Source organism: Homo sapiens, chromosome 12 (genome assembly GCF_000001405.40).
Source record: "Homo sapiens chromosome 12, GRCh38.p14 Primary Assembly".
Classification (NCBI taxonomy): domain Eukaryota; kingdom Metazoa; phylum Chordata; class Mammalia; order Primates; family Hominidae; genus Homo; species Homo sapiens.
Window position 1 is genome coordinate 18,653,430 of NC_000012.12, and position 21,066 is coordinate 18,674,495.

Consider the following 21,066-nt stretch of genomic DNA (forward strand, 5'->3'; position numbering starts at 1 on the left):
TGGCCAAGTCTCACCTGCTAGGCCTGATATTTGAACAGTGACTGAATTCAAAATGTGTTACAAGCTCTAGTAAATTTGTAGCTTAAAATTCTTAACTCCAGACACAGGTATACCTGACTGTTACCTAAACTTCACCAAATTGTGTTCCTTTGTATGTGTGCATGCTATTTTGAAGTGGTTTTAGGGTGACAGAGCACTGGAGGAGACAAAACCAAACGAATTCAAGTGGTATGTTTATATACTTAAGTCACCTCAACCACATGGTGTTAAGTAGACTCTGAGTTTAATAATTAAAGGAAAGACACTCATTATTAGAGTTTGGAGATTCAAACTACAGCTGCAATTATAGGAGGGAAGTGGATTTTATTAACATTTAAAATAAAATATAGGAACTCTTTGTATAAAGAGAAAATGCCCTCTTCCTAGGCTGAGGTTCAGAAATAAGTGACTGAGATTATTGCATGCCCCAAAATTCAGAAAGCAATTTAAAGGACTATACCTGTCAGCCTTCTGGCTCCATGATTCCGATTTACCCCAAGAATCAAGAAATAACTTGAGTAGCTTAAAAAAGAGCCTCATTTTCTGATAGTTTCTTACTATCAGAGCAATGGTAGCAGAAGAAGGAAAATAAAATAGAATGTGTCAAACTGAGTAGTAATGAGAAAGATACTGCCTTAAAAGAAATATTGGGATCTCAAAACACAGACTGGGCAGATATGAAGGGGAAATGAAATGCTAGTAGCTGGAAGAGATAACTATAAAGTTAAAAAGTCAATATACTCAGGTCCAACTTCTCTTGAAGAAGGTAATAGAAAAGAGCAATACATTTTAGTTATTGCCATTTCCAAAAGAAACACTAGTACCTAAAAAAAAAAAAAAAAATCTATCAGATAAGAAAAGGAAAAGCCTTGGAGAGCAGATATAATGATTTCCTGGAAAGACTAAGAATCACACTTGCTTTTTAAAACTCCTCTTAAAGTATCAGCATTATTGTAAGAACAATCAAATCACCTTTTCCTTCAAAACTGGAATAGATCTTTCAAGTGGTTAAGAAAATGTGGTCCGATTTCAGACCGAAATCCCAGGAAAATCAGTATAAAGGATGAAAACGCATCTGTGTCAACTGCAAATGAGCAAAATTATTGCCACGGGTGTTCCCTGAGGAAAAATATTTGGAAAATTTGTGGAACTGTTATTCCAGGTAAAAGTAAAGCAAAGAGAGGACTTATTAAAGGGAAATCAGACAAGATGATTCCAGTTGAGTACTTGGTCTGGATCAGCTCTTGGTCTGATAAGATTATCTTTTACATGGGACTTTCCTACTCATAAGGATCAAGATAATCAAGACTTGTTTGAACAAGGGATAAGTGACAAACATCGAACTCACCGACTTCATCTCTCTTAATGTGGGACATTCTCAAGATAAAATTTTGAGAGTGGAAAGTTGGAAAAACAAATGTTTTGGTCAGAGAGTGAAGGGAAAGGAAAAAGAAAAAAGACACTTAGTTCTGGGAAACAATGTTATCCCTATGTGAAATAAAGAAGTAAACAGACCCATATAAGAAGCTGAATAAAAAGTTATAAACCCAGCCGAAACAGTCTTAAAAGTATACAGAAACAATAATAAAAAAAAATACCAGAGGCTTTTGATGTTTCTTGTTGAGAAAAAGACCATAACAGGAAAATACTGTTAAAGACTTGTGAAATTTAAAAGCTAAGAAGAGAAAGGGTTTTGGAGATCATACGGTGAAAATATTAATCATCACTAGACTCTAATGTATCAGAAACATCAACTGCAGCTTCAGGTAAAGAACCTGCTTCCAGTGGTCCTCCAGCTGAAGGAAAAAAATATTCCCAAAGACACAGGAGCCAACTGAAAGAGTTCCCAATGGCCAAAGCTGGGACAAGTTGGGTAAGTAACATTAAATTATAGCCTGAAGTATAAAATAGTTATCCACGAATCCACACTGCTATAAATGAATAAATAAATAAGTAGGGAGAAAGAAACAAAATCCACGCAGAATTCCTAATTATTTATGGAGATGTTGCACCTGATAAAAGGTAGAACATAGCTACCCATTCCTTACATATGAGCTATGCATAGTGACGTCATCCTGAAGAATATAATATGGAAAAGAGGATTGGGGGATTAACTTTATAGTAGAGAAACCCTGACAAATACTGCCTCAGGCAGGTAGTGAAGGTCAATATCAACAGTGGAAGTCGTGTTGGCAGTATGTACCCTTGACAAGATGTGATGAAAGTGGCACTTTACCTCTGAGGTTTTCCTCCCAAAAACTCACAGCCCCAACCTTATCATGAAAAAAAAAAAAAAAATCAGAACTGACAAATCCCAATTGACAACATTCTACCAAATACTTGACTAGTACTCCTGAAACTGTCAACATCATAAAAAGCAAAGAATGCCTGAGAAACTGTCACAGCCAAGAGGAGCTTCAGGAGACATGACTACTCTATGTAATGTGGTACCCTGGATGGGATCCTGAAACGGAAAAACTAAGTAAATTTGAATTAGGTAAAAAGTAAGTAAATTTTAATTAAAGTGGACTTTAGCTAATAACAATATATCAATATTGGTTCATCAATTGTGACAAATTCTAATATAAGTTGTTAATACTAGTAAAGGAGAGTGACACCAGCAAAAATGGTGAAGTAGGGAAGTCTAAAGTTCCATTCTTCCACAAAAACAGCAAATATGCTGGGCACAGTGGCTCACACCTGTAATCCCAGCACTTTGTGAAGTTGAGACGGAAGCATCATTTGAGCTCAGGAGTTTGAGACCAACCTGGGCAACATAGCAAGACCCTGTCTATACCAAAAAAGCATTAAAAAATATTAGCCAGGTGGCTGGGCGCAGTGGGTCACGCCTGTAATCCCAGCACTTTAGGAGGCTGAGGCGGGTGGATCACGAGCTCAGTAGTTCAAGACCAGCCTGGCCAAGATGGTCTCTACTAAAAATACAAAAATTAGCTGGGCATGGTGGCGGGCGCCTGTAATCCCAGCTACTTGGAAGGCTGAGGCAGAGAATTGCTTGAACCCAGGAGAAGGAGGTTGCAGTGAGACAAGATCACACCACTGGACTCCAGCCTGGGCGACAGAGCGAGACTCTGTCCTGAAAAAAGTAAAATAAAATAAAATAGCCAGGCATGGTTACATGCACCTGGTGTCCCAGCTACTTGGGAAGCTCAGGTGGAAGGATTGCTTGAGGCAGGAGTTCAAGTTAGCAGTGAGCTATGATCATGCCACTGCACTCCAGCCTGGGTGACAGAGCATGACCCTGTCTCAAACAACAGCAACAACAACGACAACAACAACAAAAACACAATTATACAGGCAGAAACGGTCAGAATCAACTTTATTAGAACAATTGAAACCAATCAAATTTTGCAACAACAAAATGAATGCTTAATCAAGAAAAGAGAGTTAAATTTCAGTAAGAGAGATGTGGTGTTAAAGTTACTTTGGCCCCATCTCCTGCTCCCAGCTCAACTTTTTAAGGCAGCCCTAATGACAGCAGCTCACATTTTTTGTATAGGGTCCTAATATGACAGAGAGTAAAATAGATCTCATTCTGACCACAAAGAATTGTGGTTGTTTTGACTTGGCTAGTGATCCCAAAAAAACAAGCCCAAAGGGTTTGTCTTTATTTTAACGAACTCAAATCTCTACCAGTGCTGAGGTGACTACCCAGGGAGAATTTGTTTGAAATATTTATAGGCAGATGTATTTGCCACTGCTGCTGGGGACAAGGAATAATAGAGTTGGAACAAACAATTTACTAACTGAAAAACCTGGGGGCGAAAGACTGGGAAATGAGATGTTTTGGGGAATAAGGGCTCTGAAAAGTTTCCACAAATACCTGGGATTTAGATGACCATATATGTGCCCAGGGATGGGATCATATTCAGAAAATACCTGAGAAGATCCAGAGCTCTTGTCACTGGCTGACCCTCAGGCTCTATGAAAGCACAAATGAAGACTATAGCAGAGTAGTAAGCTTACAAGCTGAAGTGTTGAAGGCATGCCTCAACATTCACATAGAGCCCATATGCAAAGGCTGAAAGATTTCTAATTTTTTGTTGTTGTTTTCGGCTCCAGTAGTTTAAAGAAATCTCTGTAAAATCATTAGCTGAACACCACTAAGCTAACCGAAAAGAGAATCTAGATACAACAATGAATACATACTTTAAAAAATCAGTTCAGAGAAGGCACTAAACAAACAACTACTATAATAAGCAGCAACAACAAACCCCCAAGGAAGAAAGTGAATCTGATTTCTAGAGTTGCCACACTATAATATTCAAAATGTTCAGTCTTCAACAAAAAATTGTGAAGTGTGCAAATAATAAGAAAGTATGGCCCATACACAGAAAAAAAAGGAAAGTAATAGAAATTATCCCTAAGGAAGCTCATCTATTGGACTTACTAGACAGACTTTAAATTAACTATTTAAATATGCTTAAAGCTCTTAAGGAAACCACATACAAAGAACTGAAGAGAACCACTAGAATAATATCACTTCAAATAGAAAACTTCAATAAAGAGACATATTATGAAGTAACCAAAAAAAAATTCTGGATTAAAAAATTATAACAACTGAAATGAAAAATTCACAAAAGAAGTTCAGCAGTACACTTGAGCAGACAGAGGGAAGAATTAGCAAACTTGAAAGTAAGTTCATTGAGATTTCCTAATCTGAGGAACAAAAGGAATAAAGAAAAATCAACAGATCCTAAGAGACCTATGAAATACCACCAAGTATATTAACATTTGCATATTAGGCATCCCAGAAGATAAGAGAGATAAAAAGATAAAAGGACAGAAAGAATATTTAAAGAAATAATGGTCCAAAACATCAATTCACTTGATGAATTACATCCAAGAGGCTCAACAAACTCTAAGTAGGATAAACATAACAAGATTCACAATGAGACACGCTATAATCAAACTGTCAAAAGCAAAAGATAAAGAATCGTAAAAGCAGCAGGAGAGAAGCAAGTCATTATGCACAAGAAATCCTCAATAAGATTAATGGCTGATTGTTACCACAGACCATGGAGGCCAGACATATGAAATATTCAAAGAGCTAAAAGAAAAGACCATCAACCAAGAGATCTATATTTGATAAAAACTATTTTTGAAAAATAAAGGAGAATTTTTTAATAGAAAATCAATATTTTAATAAATAATAGCATTAAAGTACCAGTTTTACATATATACATAACCGACCTGTAACTTTAAGTATTTGGAATAGATGGCTTGAGTTATGCATATAAATTCTTTTAGAAGGTTTTACATATTCTATTTCACAGAGAGTAAAAAGGGAGAGAATGCTATACTTTAGCTTAGGTATTTACTACAATAGAATCTAATTCACCTTCAGAAATGTTCTAAAGTGAATTATTCTATTTGAATGGAAAAAATTTGCATTATGAAACCTGTAAAAATGAGATTTTTGTATTTTTTTTGTACATTTACCTTTCACACAAATTATCTCTTTCTATTGGTGAAGATATTATAATCATGCAAGGAATAACTCATGCTCTATGACTCAGTGCTTTTTGGAGCATGAAGCTTTGTATTGGAGAGGCAAGAGTTGCTATGGAAAGGAAACCAACATGGATAGGAAACAGTAGGGCAGAAGGGAAGACACACTAAAAGTGGGCCAAGATAGGAGGAAGGTAAAAAATAAACAGTAACCATAATTCTCATATTATAGTTGGAGCTAATATATAAAGGTACTCAAAAACTAGCCAACTTTAGGCACTAAATAACCACTTTACCTTTACCATCTTATTTAATCTCATAACAATGCAAAGAGATAAATACTATCACTAGTCCCGTACAATAGATGAGAAAACAAAAGTAGTCAGACAAAATAAGCTGCCCACAGCCATACGCTTGTAACTGGAGGATAAAGAACTCTTTGTTCCCTAAATCACTTGGGATTAAGCGGCTGACCTGATACTCTATCATCCCTGCATACTTAGAGATGATGTTTCATAAACAAGAATATTCTCTCTCTTCTCCAAAATACCATGATCAAAATCAGGAAATTACATAACTATCATTTAATGCATAGACTTCCTTCAAGTTTTATCAATTGTCTCAATAATGTATTTTATAGTGAAAGGATATCCACATTAGAATCACACATTTCATTTACGTGTCAGGCCTCTTAAGTCTCCTTTACTATGGAATAGTTCTCCATTCTTTTTTTTTTTTTTTTTACTATTATTATACTTTAAGTTTTAGGGCACATGTGCACAACGTGCAGGTTTGTTAAATATGTATACACGTGCCATATTGGTGTGCTGCACCCGTTAACTCGTTATTTAGCATTATGTATATCACCTAATGCTAAAATAAAGGAGAAATTAAGACTCTCCCAGATAAAAACTGAGACAGTTAACTGCTAGTTGACTTACTCTATAAGAAATGCTAAAGGGAGTCCTTTGGACTGAAATAAAAGAACTCTAGGCTAACTCAAATTTACATAGAGAAATAAAGAACACTGCTAAAGATAAGTAAATGTAAAAAACAAATGTTGGAGAGAATTCTGGGAAGATGGCACAGTATGAAGCACCAAAAATTTATCTCCCCTCCAACAGAACAATTACACTGACATAATCTGTCTGAGGTAAATATTTTGGAATCTTGGAGTCTACTGAAGGCTTGCTTGCACCTTCCAGGAGAGGACCTGGATAGTAAATTTCAGTACATTTAGGTCAATTTCAGCTCTTAACTCAGCAGTGGCTATCCATCCCCATTCTCCTGCGTATTTCTGGATCAGCTTGCACACAGCTTGCCGAAACCAGCAGGAGCCATAAGGATACTGTCCATTAAATATCAGGGATCTGTGTTCTGATATCTGATTGATGCTCTGATCAAAAAGGCAGAGACACAGACAAAGGTGGGAAGTTTTGTTGCAACTCCTCCTTTGTTGCAAGCCCTTCCCTCTCCAGCTGAAGTGAGATCCAGGGGGGTTTAAAGGGCCAGCGCCTCGGCACCTTTAGTTTTTCTCCTTTTCCCCTTTTGAGAGCCAGACATTAAAGACTAGGACATTAAATTAAAAGCAACCACATATATAGAGGAAATTAGAAAGTAACTGTGCATGCCCGGAGAAAGGTATAGACTCAGAAATGACCAGAAAAGACCTTAGATTTATACCTCAGGCTGGTCCTTGGCACAGAGAAGCCTATATCAATTAAAACAGAACAGATACAGCAAATTCTGGGAAAGGAGAAGAATCTGATTTCCAGAGACATGATATTATTAGATTCATATATATAGCTTTCAACAAAAAAACCACAAGGCATCCAACAAACAGGAAAGTATGTCTCATTCAAAGGAAAAAATAAACCAACAGAAACTGTCCTTCAGAAAGACCTGATGAAATATTTACTAGGCAAAGAGTTTAAAACAATTGATAGTCAAAGAAGTAAAGGAAGATGTAAAGAAAATCAAGAAAACAAAGCATGAACAAAATAAAAAGATCAATAAAAATATAGAAAACCCAAATGAAGCCAAAATGAAATTCTGGAACTGGAAAGTACAACTGAAGACAAAAATTCACTAGAAGAATTGAAGGGTATATATATGAGCAGTTAGAAGAATTGATGAACTTGAGGACAGAACAATGGAAATTACTGAGTTTGGGGAATAGCAATAAAGATTTAAGAAAAGTGAACAGAGCCTAACCAACCTGTAGGATATTATGAAGCAGACCAACATATCCATTGTAAGAGTTCTGCAAGAAGAGAAAGAGGCAAAGGGATTATTTGAAGAAATAGTACCCCAAATATTTCCAAGTGTGATGAGATACAAGAATTATAAACATCCAAGAAGTTTAACGAACTCCAAATGAGATAACTCAGAAAGACCCGTACCAAGACATTATAATCCTACTGCCAAAAATAAAAAAAAAGAGAGAGAGAGAATCTTGAAAGCAGCAAGAGAGAAGTGACACATCACATAAAAAGGCCTTTTCGTAGGATTATATATTTAAAGTGCTAAAAGAAAAACAACTGTCAACCATGAATCCTGTATCTAGCAAAACTGTCCTTCATAAATAAGGGATAAACAAGAATATAAAACAATGTTCAACATTATTAATCAGAAAAATGCAAACCAAAACCACGATGAGAGACCATCTCACACCAGTCAGAATGGCTATTATTAAAAAGTCAAAAAATAACATGCTGGTGAGGCTGTGGAGAAAAGGGGATGCTTATACACTGCTGGTGGGAAAGAAATTAGGTCAGCCATTGTGGAAAGCAGTTTGGTGATTTCTCAGAAAACTTAGAACTACCATTGACCCAGCAATCCCATTATTGGATACACACCCAAAGGAATATAAATTGTTCTACCGTTGTAGAAATATTCACAATAGCAAAGACAATAGGAATCAACCTATGTGCCCATCAACAGTAGTACTGGATTTTTTTAAATGAAGTACACATACACCATGAAATACTACACATCCATAAAAAAAGAACAAGATCATATCATTTGCAGAAACATGAATGGAGCTGGGGGCCATTATCCCATTATCCTAAGTGAACTAACGCAGGAACAGAAAACCAATACTGCGTGTTCTCCCGTATTAAGTAGGAACTAAATCTTGAGTACACATGGACACAAAAATGAGAACAATAGACACTGGGACTACTTGAAGATGGAAAGTGCAAGGAGGGTGAAGATTGAAAAACCACCCACTGGAGTTAAGTAGTTATGCTATGCTACCTAAATAGCATAGGCACTATGCTCATCACCTGGCTGATGAAATAATCTGTACATCAAACCCCTGCAACATGCAACTTACCTATGTAGCAAACCTGAACATGTACCTCTAAACATAAAGGTTTTTAAGTACAATTTTTAAAAAACACAAAATTGAGGGAGAAATTAAGAAATTAATAAATGAGGGAGAAATAAATTTTGTTTATCCCAGATAAACAAAAGCTGAGGAAATTTATGACCCTAGATCTACCCTGCAGGGAATACTAAAGGTGGCCTCACACTTTGAAATAAAAGAGCATTACACAGTTTAAAAAAAAGGCTTTGTGAAGAAGTAAAGATCCACAGTAAAGGTAAATACATGAACAATTATAAAAATTTGTATTATTGTAACTTTGGTCTGCAGCTATACATTTTGTTTTCTACATTATTTAAGATATTAATGCATTAAAAGTAATTATTGGTTCATATATCTGGACCCACAATGTGGAAAGATGTAATTTTGAAGCATCAATAACTGAAAAATGAGGTCTAGTCTGTAAAGGAGCAGAATCTCATATGTTACTGAAGTTAAGCTGTTATAAAATCAAATTAGAGAGTTATAACTTTAGCATGTTAAATGTAATCCCCATGGTAACCAAACAGAAAATGCACATAGAATAAAAACCAAAGGAAATGAGAAAATACTTAAAACATTTAACTACAAAAAACATCAACTAAACACAAAAAGACAGTAATGCAAAGATAACAATTAGGACTATAAAAGCTATAAGGCATGTAGAAACCAAATAGAAAACTGACAGAAGTGCCTCCATATCAGAAATTACTTTAAATATAAGTGGATTAAACTCTCTCCAGTCAAAAGACATAGATGGAAAACTACCTCAGCATAATAAAAGCCACATATGAAAAATCCACAATGAATATTATACTCAATGTTGAAAGACTGAAAGCTTTTCTTCTAAGATCAGGAACAAGGCAAGGGTGAACAGGTTCATCACTTTTATTCAACATAGTACTGGATACTCTATCCAGAGCAGTTAGGCAAGAAAAGGAAATAAAAGACATCTAAATTTGAAAAGAAGAGGCAAAATTATCTTTGTTCACAGATAATACGATCCTGTTTTTAGAAAACCATGAGTCCAGAAAAACTGTTAGAATTAATTAATTTAGCACTTTTTCCTAAACAATACAGTATAATAACTATTTACATAACATTTACATTGTGTCAAGCATAGGTAATGTAGAGATTATTTAAACTACATAGGAGGATATGCATAGGTTATATGCAAATACTATGCTATTTTATATCAGAGATTTGAACTTCTGTGGATTTTGATATCCATAGGAGGTCCTGGAAATAATCCCACATTGATACCAAAGGATGACCTTGTAAAAATTAACTTAAAATATATCCAGTACCTAAACATAACAGCAAAAACTGTAAAACTCTTAGAAAAAAAAACATAGGACAAAAGCTTTATGATGTTGGATTTGGCAATGATTTGTGAGACATGACACCAAAGACACAAACAACAGAAGAAAAAAGAAAGAAATTGAACTTCATGAAAATTGAAAAATGTTGTGCATCTGAAAACACTATCAACAGAGAAAAAGGCAATATACAAAATGGAAGAAAATATTAGCAAATCATACATCTTATAAGGAATTAATATCCAGAATACATAGAGAATTCCTAAAACACAATAACCAATAGCCAAACAACCTGGTTTAAGTAATAGGCTATGGACTTGAATAGACATTTCTCCAAAGAAGATATACAAATGGCTAGTAAGCACATAAAAACATGCTCAACATCACTAATCATTGAAAATGCAAATCAAAACTACAATGATATAACACTCACACTCATTAGGATGGCTACTATCAAAAACCAAACCAGACAAACAAACAAAGACACACCAGAAAATAACAAGCGAGGGTCAGGATGTGGAAGAATTGGAACGCTTATGTACTGTTGGTAGGAACGTAAAATGGTATAGCCACTGTGGGACACAGTTTGGTGGTTCCTCAAAAACTTAAACATAGATTTACCACATAATCCTACAATTCCAGTTCTGAATATATACCAAAAAACACTGAAAGCAGGCTTCTGAAAATATATTTGTACATCCATGTTTATAGCAGCATTGTTCTCAATAGCTTGGGGAGTAACCCAAATATCCATTGATACATAAATGGATAAGGAAACTGTAGTTTATACATACTGTGGAATATTGTTCAGCATTGAAAGGGAAGGAAATTATGGCATATACTACAGCATGGATGAACTTAGAGGGCATTATGCTAAGTGAAATAAGAAAAATCACAAAAAGATAAAGTATGATTCTATTTATATGAGATACTTAAAGTGTTCAAAATCATGGAGACAATGAGTAGAATAGTGGTTGCCAGGTCAGGGATCTAGAACTAGAAAGACCATTTGACCCAGCCATCCCATTATTGGGTATATACCCAAAGGACTATAAATCATGCTGCTATAAAGACACATGCACACGTATGTTTATTGCGGCACTATTCACAATAGCAAAGACTTGGAACCAATCCAAATGTCCAACAATGATAGACTGGATTAAGAAAATGTGGCACATATACACCATGGAATACTATGCAGCCACAAAAAATGATGAGTTCATGTCCTTTGTAGGGACATGGATGAAATTGGAAATCATCATTCTCAGTAAACTATCACAAGGACAAAAAACCAAATACTGCATGTTCTCACTCATAGGTGGGAATTGAACAATGAGGACACATGGACACAGGAAGGGGAACATCACACTCTGGGGACTGTTGTGGGGTGGGGGGAGGGGGGAGGGATAGCATTAGGAAATATACCTAATGCTAAATGACGAGTTGATGGGTGCAGCACAACAGCATGGCACATGCATACATATGTAACTAACCTGCACATTGTGCACATGTACCCTAAAACTTAAAGCATAATAATAATAAAAAATAAAAAAAAATTAAAAAAAATAAGAACAAAGAATGGTGGTTGCCAGGGACTGGTGGAATGGGTAATTGAGGAGTTATTGTTTAAAGGGTATATAGACTTTCAGTTTTGCAAGATGGAAAGAGTTCTGGAGATGGATATTAGTGGTAGTTGTAGAATGAGAATGTATTTAATACCACTGAACTGCACCTCTAAAAATGGCTAAAATAGTATGTTTTATATTATTTGTATTTCACCACAAGAAAAAAAAATTGAGAAACAGTCATTGGTAATGTATTTTAGGTTTGTAATTTCTCTATTTTGTCTGTATTATTTAAAAGATAATTATATAAAACAATAATTATGGCCAGGTGTGGTGGCTCCTGCCTGTAATCCCAGCACTTTGGGAGGCCAAGGCAGGCAGATCACCTGAGGTCGGGAGTTGGAGACTAGCCTGACCAACATAGTGAAACCCTGTCTGTACTGAAAATACAAAAATTAGCCTGGCGGTCTGGACGCAGTGGCTCATGCCTATAATCCCAGAACTTTGGGAGGCTGAGGCAGGTGGATCACGAGGTCAGGAGATCGAGACCATCCTGGACCACATGGTGAAACTCCTTCTCTAGTAAAATACAAAAAATTAGCCAGGCGTAGTGGTGCGCACCTGTAGTCCCAGGTACTTGGGAGGCTGAGGCAGGGGAATCACTTGAACCCAGTAGGCAGAGGTTGCAGTGAGCCAAGATCGCGCCATTGTACTCCAGCCTGGGTGACAGAGATAGACTCCATCTCAAAAAAAAAAAAAAACTAGTTGGGCGTGGTGGTGCATGCCTGAGGTATGGAGCTATATGTGACCAAAGTCTTCGTATACTATTAAATGTTAATTTAAACTAGATTATTATAAATTAAGATATTAATGGTAATCTCCAGGTAAACCATTAAGAAAATAACTTAAAAGTGTATACTAAAACAAATGAAAAAGAAATCAAGTGACACTAGAAAATATCTAACACAAAAGAAAAAAATTATAGAGAAATTAATAATTAAAAGATATTGCCTATAGAAAACAAAGAGAAAATTGGCAAAAGTAAGTCTTTTTATATCTTTAATTTCATTAAATATAAGTAGATTAAACTCTTCAATTAAAGGGCATATTTGGCAAAATGCATTAAGAAGCACGATCCAATTATATACTGTCTACAAGACACTCCTTAGATTTACAGACACAAATATGTTGAAAATGGAAAAATACATTTATGCAAATAGTCTCAAAAAGAGCTGGGGTGGCTATACTAATTTTTAAAATGGACTTCAAGGTGATTGTTGCACGAGACAAAGAAGGACATTATATAATATAAAAGTATCCATCTATTAAGAAGATAAAACAATTATAAATATATAAATGGGAAACCCCCAAAATATGTGAAGCAAAAACTGACAGAATTGAAGAAAGAAACAGATAGTTCAACAACATTTGGAGATTTTAATACCCAACTTTCAATAGGAAAAAGTACTAGACGAAAGACAGAGAAATAGAATACTTGAACAATGCTATAAACCAACTAAAACTACAGACATATATAGAACACATCACTCAACAATAGCAGAATACAAGTTCTTCACAAGTAGACATGAAACATTCTCCAGGATAGACCACATATTAGGTTACAGATGATAGTCTAAACTGGTTATGTGGTATATGGAAACTCCATTTCTTATTTTTGCAATTTTCCTGTAAACCTAAAACTGTTAAGTAAAAGGTTATTTTTAAACAAATTCTCTAGGAGGCAGGTTTCAGGGTTTTAACCACAATTCCTTAGCAAAAAGCAGAGAAAGTAGCAATCATGGCCTAGAACTAAAAATACCGTTTCTCAATAATGGTGTAGGCTATATCACCAGACAGAGTGCATCCTCAATGCATCACAGTGGGGGGAAGTTGCCAGAAACACTAGGCTTAAATGGAGAATGAAAATAAAGGCATTTCAGTATATTGAAAGGGGTCTCAAATAAGGTCTCATGATGAGGGTTGCCACCATTATAAACTTGTAAGCTTTGAATGAAGGCAGGAATAGTTCAAATACGTAAGTGAATATACTACTTCTTAGAGCTATGACAGCATATGACTACCACTTAGAGATATGTGTAATATCTTAATTAAACCCTTGGTGGGAGAAACCTCCTACCAAGAAGTTAACAGTCATCAACTTTTAACTGTTATAAACTGATGGGCACCTGGTGGGGCTAAAATCAAGATTACCTGTATCTATCTGCTCTCATTCAGGTCTCCAGAGTCAATATTATAGTCTTTGACAACACTAAGTACTATGTTTTGAGAATATAATTTTAGTAAAATAACTGCTCTATAAGCTAGAGTTTGGCTTGTTTTTAAAACATATTTAAGACTTTTTTTCTTCTATTTTTACTTGAGATCCTTTCTTCATGATCCTTCTTGTCACCAATTTTCTGTAGTAGGAAAGGGGAAAGGAGTTAGCGTTTATTGAAGACCCAGTTTGTACAAGGCATTGTGCTACTGCTTTACCCACAGCATTTGATTTCATTATCATAAAAGTCTATGAAATAAGCAATAGTATTTCTATGTTTAAAAGAAAATGAAACTCTATAAAGTTAAGAAATGTCCTTGAGCCCAGCAGTCAATCCCAGCTCTGGCTTGACTTCAAACTCCATGCCATTTCCACCACATTGCTCTGCCTTCTTAAGAGGAGAGATTCTGCCCATGGTTCTAGAAGATTCTCTTCCCAGTAAACAGAACAAGGTGGAGAGTGAGACGGGGAGCAGGGGAAAACTTTGAGTCCTGAGGAGAAGCAACAACAACAAAAAAAAAAGGCAAAAGATTTTTACCTAAGGTCTACCTTTAGGACACTACCTAATATAATCAGATTTCTGATACAGTCAAAGTTCGTCTCCACTTAGCGTAATTATACTAAAAGAGTCACTGTCTTTTTCTTAGCCCCAACTTGTATTATCTTAATCTCTCTGTCTCATAGGGACTAGCAGGTAGTGAAATTTAAAAAGAAAAAAAGTCCAGTCATACTTTCAATAACATCCCCTACAGAATATCACAGTAAGCCCATTATTTCTTAAGAAGAAACACACATCACATTTTCATTAAGTATTTACATGAACCTTCCCTACGGATAATAATTCTTTGGAAAGTCAGAGAAACTAAGAACATATCTTTGCCACTTTACCAGTTTACTAATTCCCTTTTGAGGTGATTAAGGGAAAATTTGTAAAAGGAAAACCTTGCTCATCCATCAGAAATCAAATGGAACCCAACCTACACACATGGAGCACCAAGGTGAGACAAGGACTGCAGGGACCACTAACCTGCCTGCCGTCTACTACAACTGAAGCTCCAGGACTGCAACCCTAGTGCCCTTTGCCTTCTTCAAGGAGATCATGCATGCTGGACCATCATCTTCTGGCACACTGAAGATAGGACCAACACCCTGGGGAAGCCCACAGATCATAGCACAACTCATCTCCCTAGAGCAAAGTGCTGCTCACTTCAGGCCAACTCACCTCCAGCCCATAAAGGAAAAGACCATTTATCACTCTCTGGGTAGAAGTGCTCACACCCCAAAGCTATATTTATTGCTTGGGAATGCTGCCTGCTGATATTCACCTCAGGCCTGCCCAGCTCTGATACATATCTACTCATACATCAGAATACACGAGTGCAGAAGGAGCTTACACCGGACAAAAATTCTGATGGATCTTTTTGGACTTTCAATTGTAAATGTCAGCAAAGACGAAATAAATTACTAGATGTGCAAGAAAAAATCGTGAATAAGAGATTAAGAGAGAAGCTCCAGGTGTGTAATTAATTTCCCCCGCTGAGCAAAAGCTAGTGCAGAAAATAGTAATAATAATAATAGCTAATATTTATGTGACACTCTTGTCTCTGTTCTGCATTTTCATGGTACTGTTCCAAATTCTTTATAAACAACAGTTCATTTAAGCCTTGTAACAATGATTATTTTCTTGATTCCTCTGATGGGAAACTAAAGCACACACACAAAAGAAGTTGAGTAATTTTTTTCCAAGGTCCCACAGCTAGTAGGTAGCAAAGGACATGAAGTCAGGCAATCAAGCATCAGAATCCATCCTCTTAACCACTGCACTATATTCTCTTTCCATTATATGTGTGGTCTCTTGTATTCTTACTATGTAGCAGGCACCACAGTAAACATTATTTCATTTAACCTTTATAATAAATTGGTGTGTGGTAAGGATAATTATCCTCACTTTAAATAATCTAATTCATATTATCAGTGAGAGTCTAAAAGATACTGTCTTAATGTGAACTGCTATAATAAAAATACCATAGACTCGGTGGCTTAAACAACAGAAATTTATTTCTCACAGTTCTGGAGGCTGGAAAGTCCAATCCAGCAGATTCAGTTGTTGGTGAGGGCCCCTATTCCTGGCTTCCAGACAGTTGCCTTTGCAGCTGAATCCTCACATGGCAGAGAGAGGAAGCTCTGGTGTCTCTTCCTCTCTTTTTTTTTTGAGACAGATTCTCGCTCTGTCACCCAGGCTAGAGTCCAGAGATGTAATTTCAGCTCACTGCAACCTCCGCCTCCTGGGTTCAAGTGATTCTCCTGCCTCAGCCTCCTGAGTAGCTGGGATTACAGGCGTGTGCCACCATGCCTGGCTAATTTTTGTATTTTTTGTTTGCTCATTTAGCAGAGACAGGGTTTCACCACGTTGCTCAGGCTGGTCTCAAACTCCTGACCTTGTGATCCGCCCACCTGGCCTCCCAAAGTGCTGGGACTACAGGTGTGAGCCACCGCGCCCGGCCCTCTTCCTCTTCTTATAAGGGCATTAATCCTATCATAGTGGCTCAGCCCTTATGTCTTAATTTAAACCTAATTACCTCCCAAAGATCCTACCTCCTAATACCACCCCATTGGGAGTTAGGGCTTCAAAATATGAATTTGGGAATGTTTGGAGAGGACATAAACATTCCATTCACAACAGATATCAGATCATTAGATAGAAGAAGTATGCTGCCTTGAAACAAGATCAATATAAAAATGAAATGCTTTAGGAAATCACTTTTTTCAGAAGAGTTGTTTTATCAGATTGCTACATTTCTCCACAATTACAGAAATTACACACATATGCGCACACACACACACACACAACATCAGAAAGGACACTGCCAAAAATCACATTGTTGATTTAGACATTTCAATTGTCTGTGCCACAGAGAGCTAGAACATAGATATTGTCTAGTTCAGCAACCTCCTTTTTAAAGGGGAGCAAACAAACCATGAGAGTTGAAGGGCCTACCCAAGACAGCTTCAACTACCCAAGATGCATTACCTTCAACACAGTTCTTAACCTCTTTAATCTTATTGTCTTCATCTGCAAAATCTCCAGGGATTGATATGAGGGTTAACTTCCTTTCTGCAGGGTTAACTTCGTTTCTGCATATAAAGCACTTAGGATAATGCTTGGAATATGGTAAGTGGGTAATACATGTCTCTATTACTATTATCATTATTATTATTGCTATTATCAATCTCATGATAAGTGGCAGGCACAGCTCTTCAGTGTTCTTTTTACTTTATCATCCTGAACTATTTTAGGTGCACTTTTCTCACCAATTCCAGAATAACCAATGTTTACATTGTCATGAAACATTCTTTCAAATGAGCTCCTTTACTTGATCAAATCAGTTAGGAAGCTTTCAATTGGAAAAATTATTTAAGAAAACAAACACAGTTTCGGCCGGGCACAGTGGCTCATGCCTGTAATCCCAACACTTTGGGAGGCTGAGGCAGGCAGATCATGAGGTCAGGAGTTAGAGCACCTGGACAACATGGTGAAACCCTGTCTCCACTAAAATACAAAAATTAGCCCAGCTTGGTGGTGTGCGCCTGTAATCCCAGCTACTCAGGAGGCTGAGGCAGGAGAATTACTTGAGCCTGGGAAGTGGAGGTGACAGTGATTTCAGCAGTGAGCCGAAATCAGGCCATTGCCCTCCAGCCCGGGTGACAGGGTGAGACTCCATCTAAAAAAAAAAAAAAAGAAAGAAAGAAAAAGAAAAAGTGCTATCTAGTTCCATTTATTATGAGGATCAAACTAAATAGTGTATGTAAAAACATTTCATAAACTGCTATGCACCATACAGAGAAGATATTGGGATTTTTTTTTATTGGACTGAATCCACAATCGAGTAAGTACAGCTGGGAAGAAACAGACACATGTAGGAGAAAGAACACGAGAGCCTGGCCCCTTTGTGTAATAAGGGACTGTGTGTGACTGCGTCAGCATAATGCAGAAAACCTGAACCTAAAGAAGATCACACATGAGATCAGCACTCCAGAGCTACAGCATTCACTATGGAGGCACCACCCATGTGTGGCTACTCAATTAAAAATGAAACAAAACTACAAATTTGATTTCTCAGGTGTACTAGGCACATCACAAGTGGTGAGGAGGCACATATGGCTAGTGGCTACTATATTGGATATAAAAAAAAATTTCATTATTGCAGACAATTTATGGAAAGGAAAGGCTCCAGAAAAATGATGAAGAAAAGGGAAATTTGAATTTTTTTCCAAAATGCAAAAAGACTGTCTGAGTTCATCCAAGCTGCTATAACAAAAATATCATCCATGGAGGGGCTACAAACAATAGAAATTGATTTCTCACAGTTTTGGAGTTTGAGAAGTTTAAGATCAAGGCGCCTGCAGATTCAATGTCTGGTGAAGGCTCATCTCCCATATATAGCACCTTTTCATGACATCTTGACTTGGTAGAGTGGGCATATAAGAGCCCTAGGGCTCTTTTATCAGGACACAAATCCCATACATGAGGGCTACATCATGACCTAGTCACCCACCAAAGGCCCCACCTACTAATACCATTACTTTGAGGATTCGATTTCAGCATATGAATTTTATGGGGACACAAACATTCAGATCATAGCAAAGACAAGTGAATTTAAAGAGATTATTTTATTTTGCAGTGGATCATGTTTTATGGCTTTATAGTTTCTGACATTTCTCAGTTTGGCAGAATTAGCTTATATTACTTCAGAGAACTGTTCTGTTGTTACTGCTTTTAATGAGAAAATACAACTGTCTTATTCTAACTTAATTCTCAGCACCTCTATTACTCAGTCGTCATTGCTCATCTAGAACAAACCTTTCCCGACAGTTAAGAAAAGGGAAAGGTTTTTAATTGTTTACTTTTACTCATTATGTTATGTGCTCATTTAATGTGTGATCTCTGATTATGTAAGTTTCAAGATAGAATCTGGAATTAAAGTCAAATGACTTGAAAAAAAACTGGTATAAATCTAGGTTAAAACAACTATATAAAAATAAATTTGTGTTGTTTAATATACTCAACATTCCATATGCTGGAGGCTGATTTCTACTCCCACTACTCATCACATTTGAATGAATATGAGAAAATCAGAACATGTAGTTTCATTATTTGACCTTTTCTTTACTGACACTGAGTTTCTTATTGACCAGAACCCAGAAGGGTAGCAAGTCACATTAAGGAACATGACCATCCCAAGGTGACCTCACTGGGAGGAAAATTGAGGAATAGATGCCTTGAACTCTTCCCTCCCTTCAACCTCCTGGTAGGCTGCTCCCCATGGCCTAACCTAACAGGAGCAAGAGGGCACAGAAATGCTTCGATGTAGTCCATTCAGGGCTACTACCTAGGCAGAGGGCAAGGTGAGCAGGATGGAGGGTAGGTCTGCTGAAGGAGCTAAGAGAAAATGTCTGGCTCAGGTGAGGACAACCAAGAACAGCTTTCAGGAAGAAGTGAGATGTGAAGGCTAAATTGTGCACAGATTGGTACATGACACAAAAGATGGCATACATTAAAATACAGAAGTGTTTGCCAAAGTGGTACATAGAAGAGAATTAAAAAGCAGACTAATTTAGCTGAAGCAGAAAAGTTCTAAAAATTAGTTCCAAAAGGTATGAAGAAGACAGGCTTAAGGAACAGGGGAATTTATTCATGTTTTTAATGGTTAAATTGATTCACATACTGCCCCTCATAAAGGGTACAGGAAAAGATCCTTTTAAAAACAAAATTTTAAAAAACTGTTCTTCAGCTATCCCCACTGTAATCCCTACAACATAATTTCAAATTTCACATTTGAAATAGTATATAAGTTATTGAAATGAAAATGTGATATATATGTCCCCACTGAGAAAATACTAGAATAGAAAAATTTGTTGTTATATGAAAATATCATAAACAGAGCCATTTCACCAAGATATACTTTTTACATCCATTATGGAATTCTAAAACTATTAGGGTTTGATGGCAAGGAAAAAGCCAAAAATGAACAAACGAACAAGGCTAGAGAAGCCTTGGATATCTGCAATCCTTTATCTCCCCACAAAGAAAAGACCTATTCTACTAGTTATCTATTGTTATGTAACAAATTACTCCAAAACTTTGCAGCTTAAAAGAATACGCATTAATTATCTCATAGTTTCTGTATGTCAGAAATCCAGGCACAGCTACTGGGCCCTCTGATTCACTGTCTCTCACAAGGCTACAAAGGGTCTGCAGTCTCATCTGACTTCTCATCAGGGGAAGGATCCACTGCCACCCTCTTTCAGTAGCTGTTGGAAGCATTCAGCTCCTCACAAACTGTTGGACTCAGGGCCTCAGTTGCTCACTGGCTGTTCCACAGAAGCTGCCCTGAGCTCTTTGCCACATGGACCTCTTTCACATGGCAGCTTGCTTCATCATAGTGTGCAAGCCAAGAAAACAATTGTCTACTAGCAAGATGGAAGTCACAATCAGAAGTGACATCACCTTCATGTTGCTGTATTCTATTGGATAAAAGCAGATTGTTTAAAGGCAGTGGATTACACAAAGCTGTGAGTATCAGGAAGTGAAGATCACTGGTAGATATCTTACAGTCTGTCTACCACAACTGTGAAGAATAAAATCGAAAGACAAAGAATATTAGAGGGAAAAGCATATAGAAACACATGTATTCAAATACTTTTGGAACTACATTTTAAATGCTTTTCCATTCATTGCACCTTTTAAATATAAGCCACATATATTAAATTCAAACAATAGCTTAATATAATAATGACATTTAGAGAAGCTAAAGGATTTCTCTCATTTCCTGAATTTACTCTCTAAAGTAACACCTTCACACTATCCTCTGGTAACTATCTAAAATTTTGTATGTTTGTTTTACATGTCTGCAATAGAATGTGAGATTTATGACAGTGGAAGCGTGTTGGTTTTGTTTACCACTTTATCTTCAGCTACTATGCCTGGCACGTGATATTTTCTCACTCTATGAATTTTTTGGACAAATAAAT

At 36.6% G+C, this 21,066-nt stretch overlaps 2 protein-coding genes across 7 annotated transcripts in view; one reads left to right on the forward strand and one right to left on the reverse strand.

Moving 5' to 3' along the window:
- The window catches only part of PIK3C2G (phosphatidylinositol-4-phosphate 3-kinase catalytic subunit type 2 gamma), a 483,857-nt gene that overhangs the window by 410,469 nt on the left and 52,322 nt on the right, over positions 1–21,066 (forward strand). The window lies entirely within an intron of this gene.
- The window catches only part of PLCZ1 (phospholipase C zeta 1), a 92,404-nt gene that overhangs the window by 7,821 nt on the left and 63,517 nt on the right, over positions 1–21,066 (reverse strand). The window lies entirely within an intron of this gene.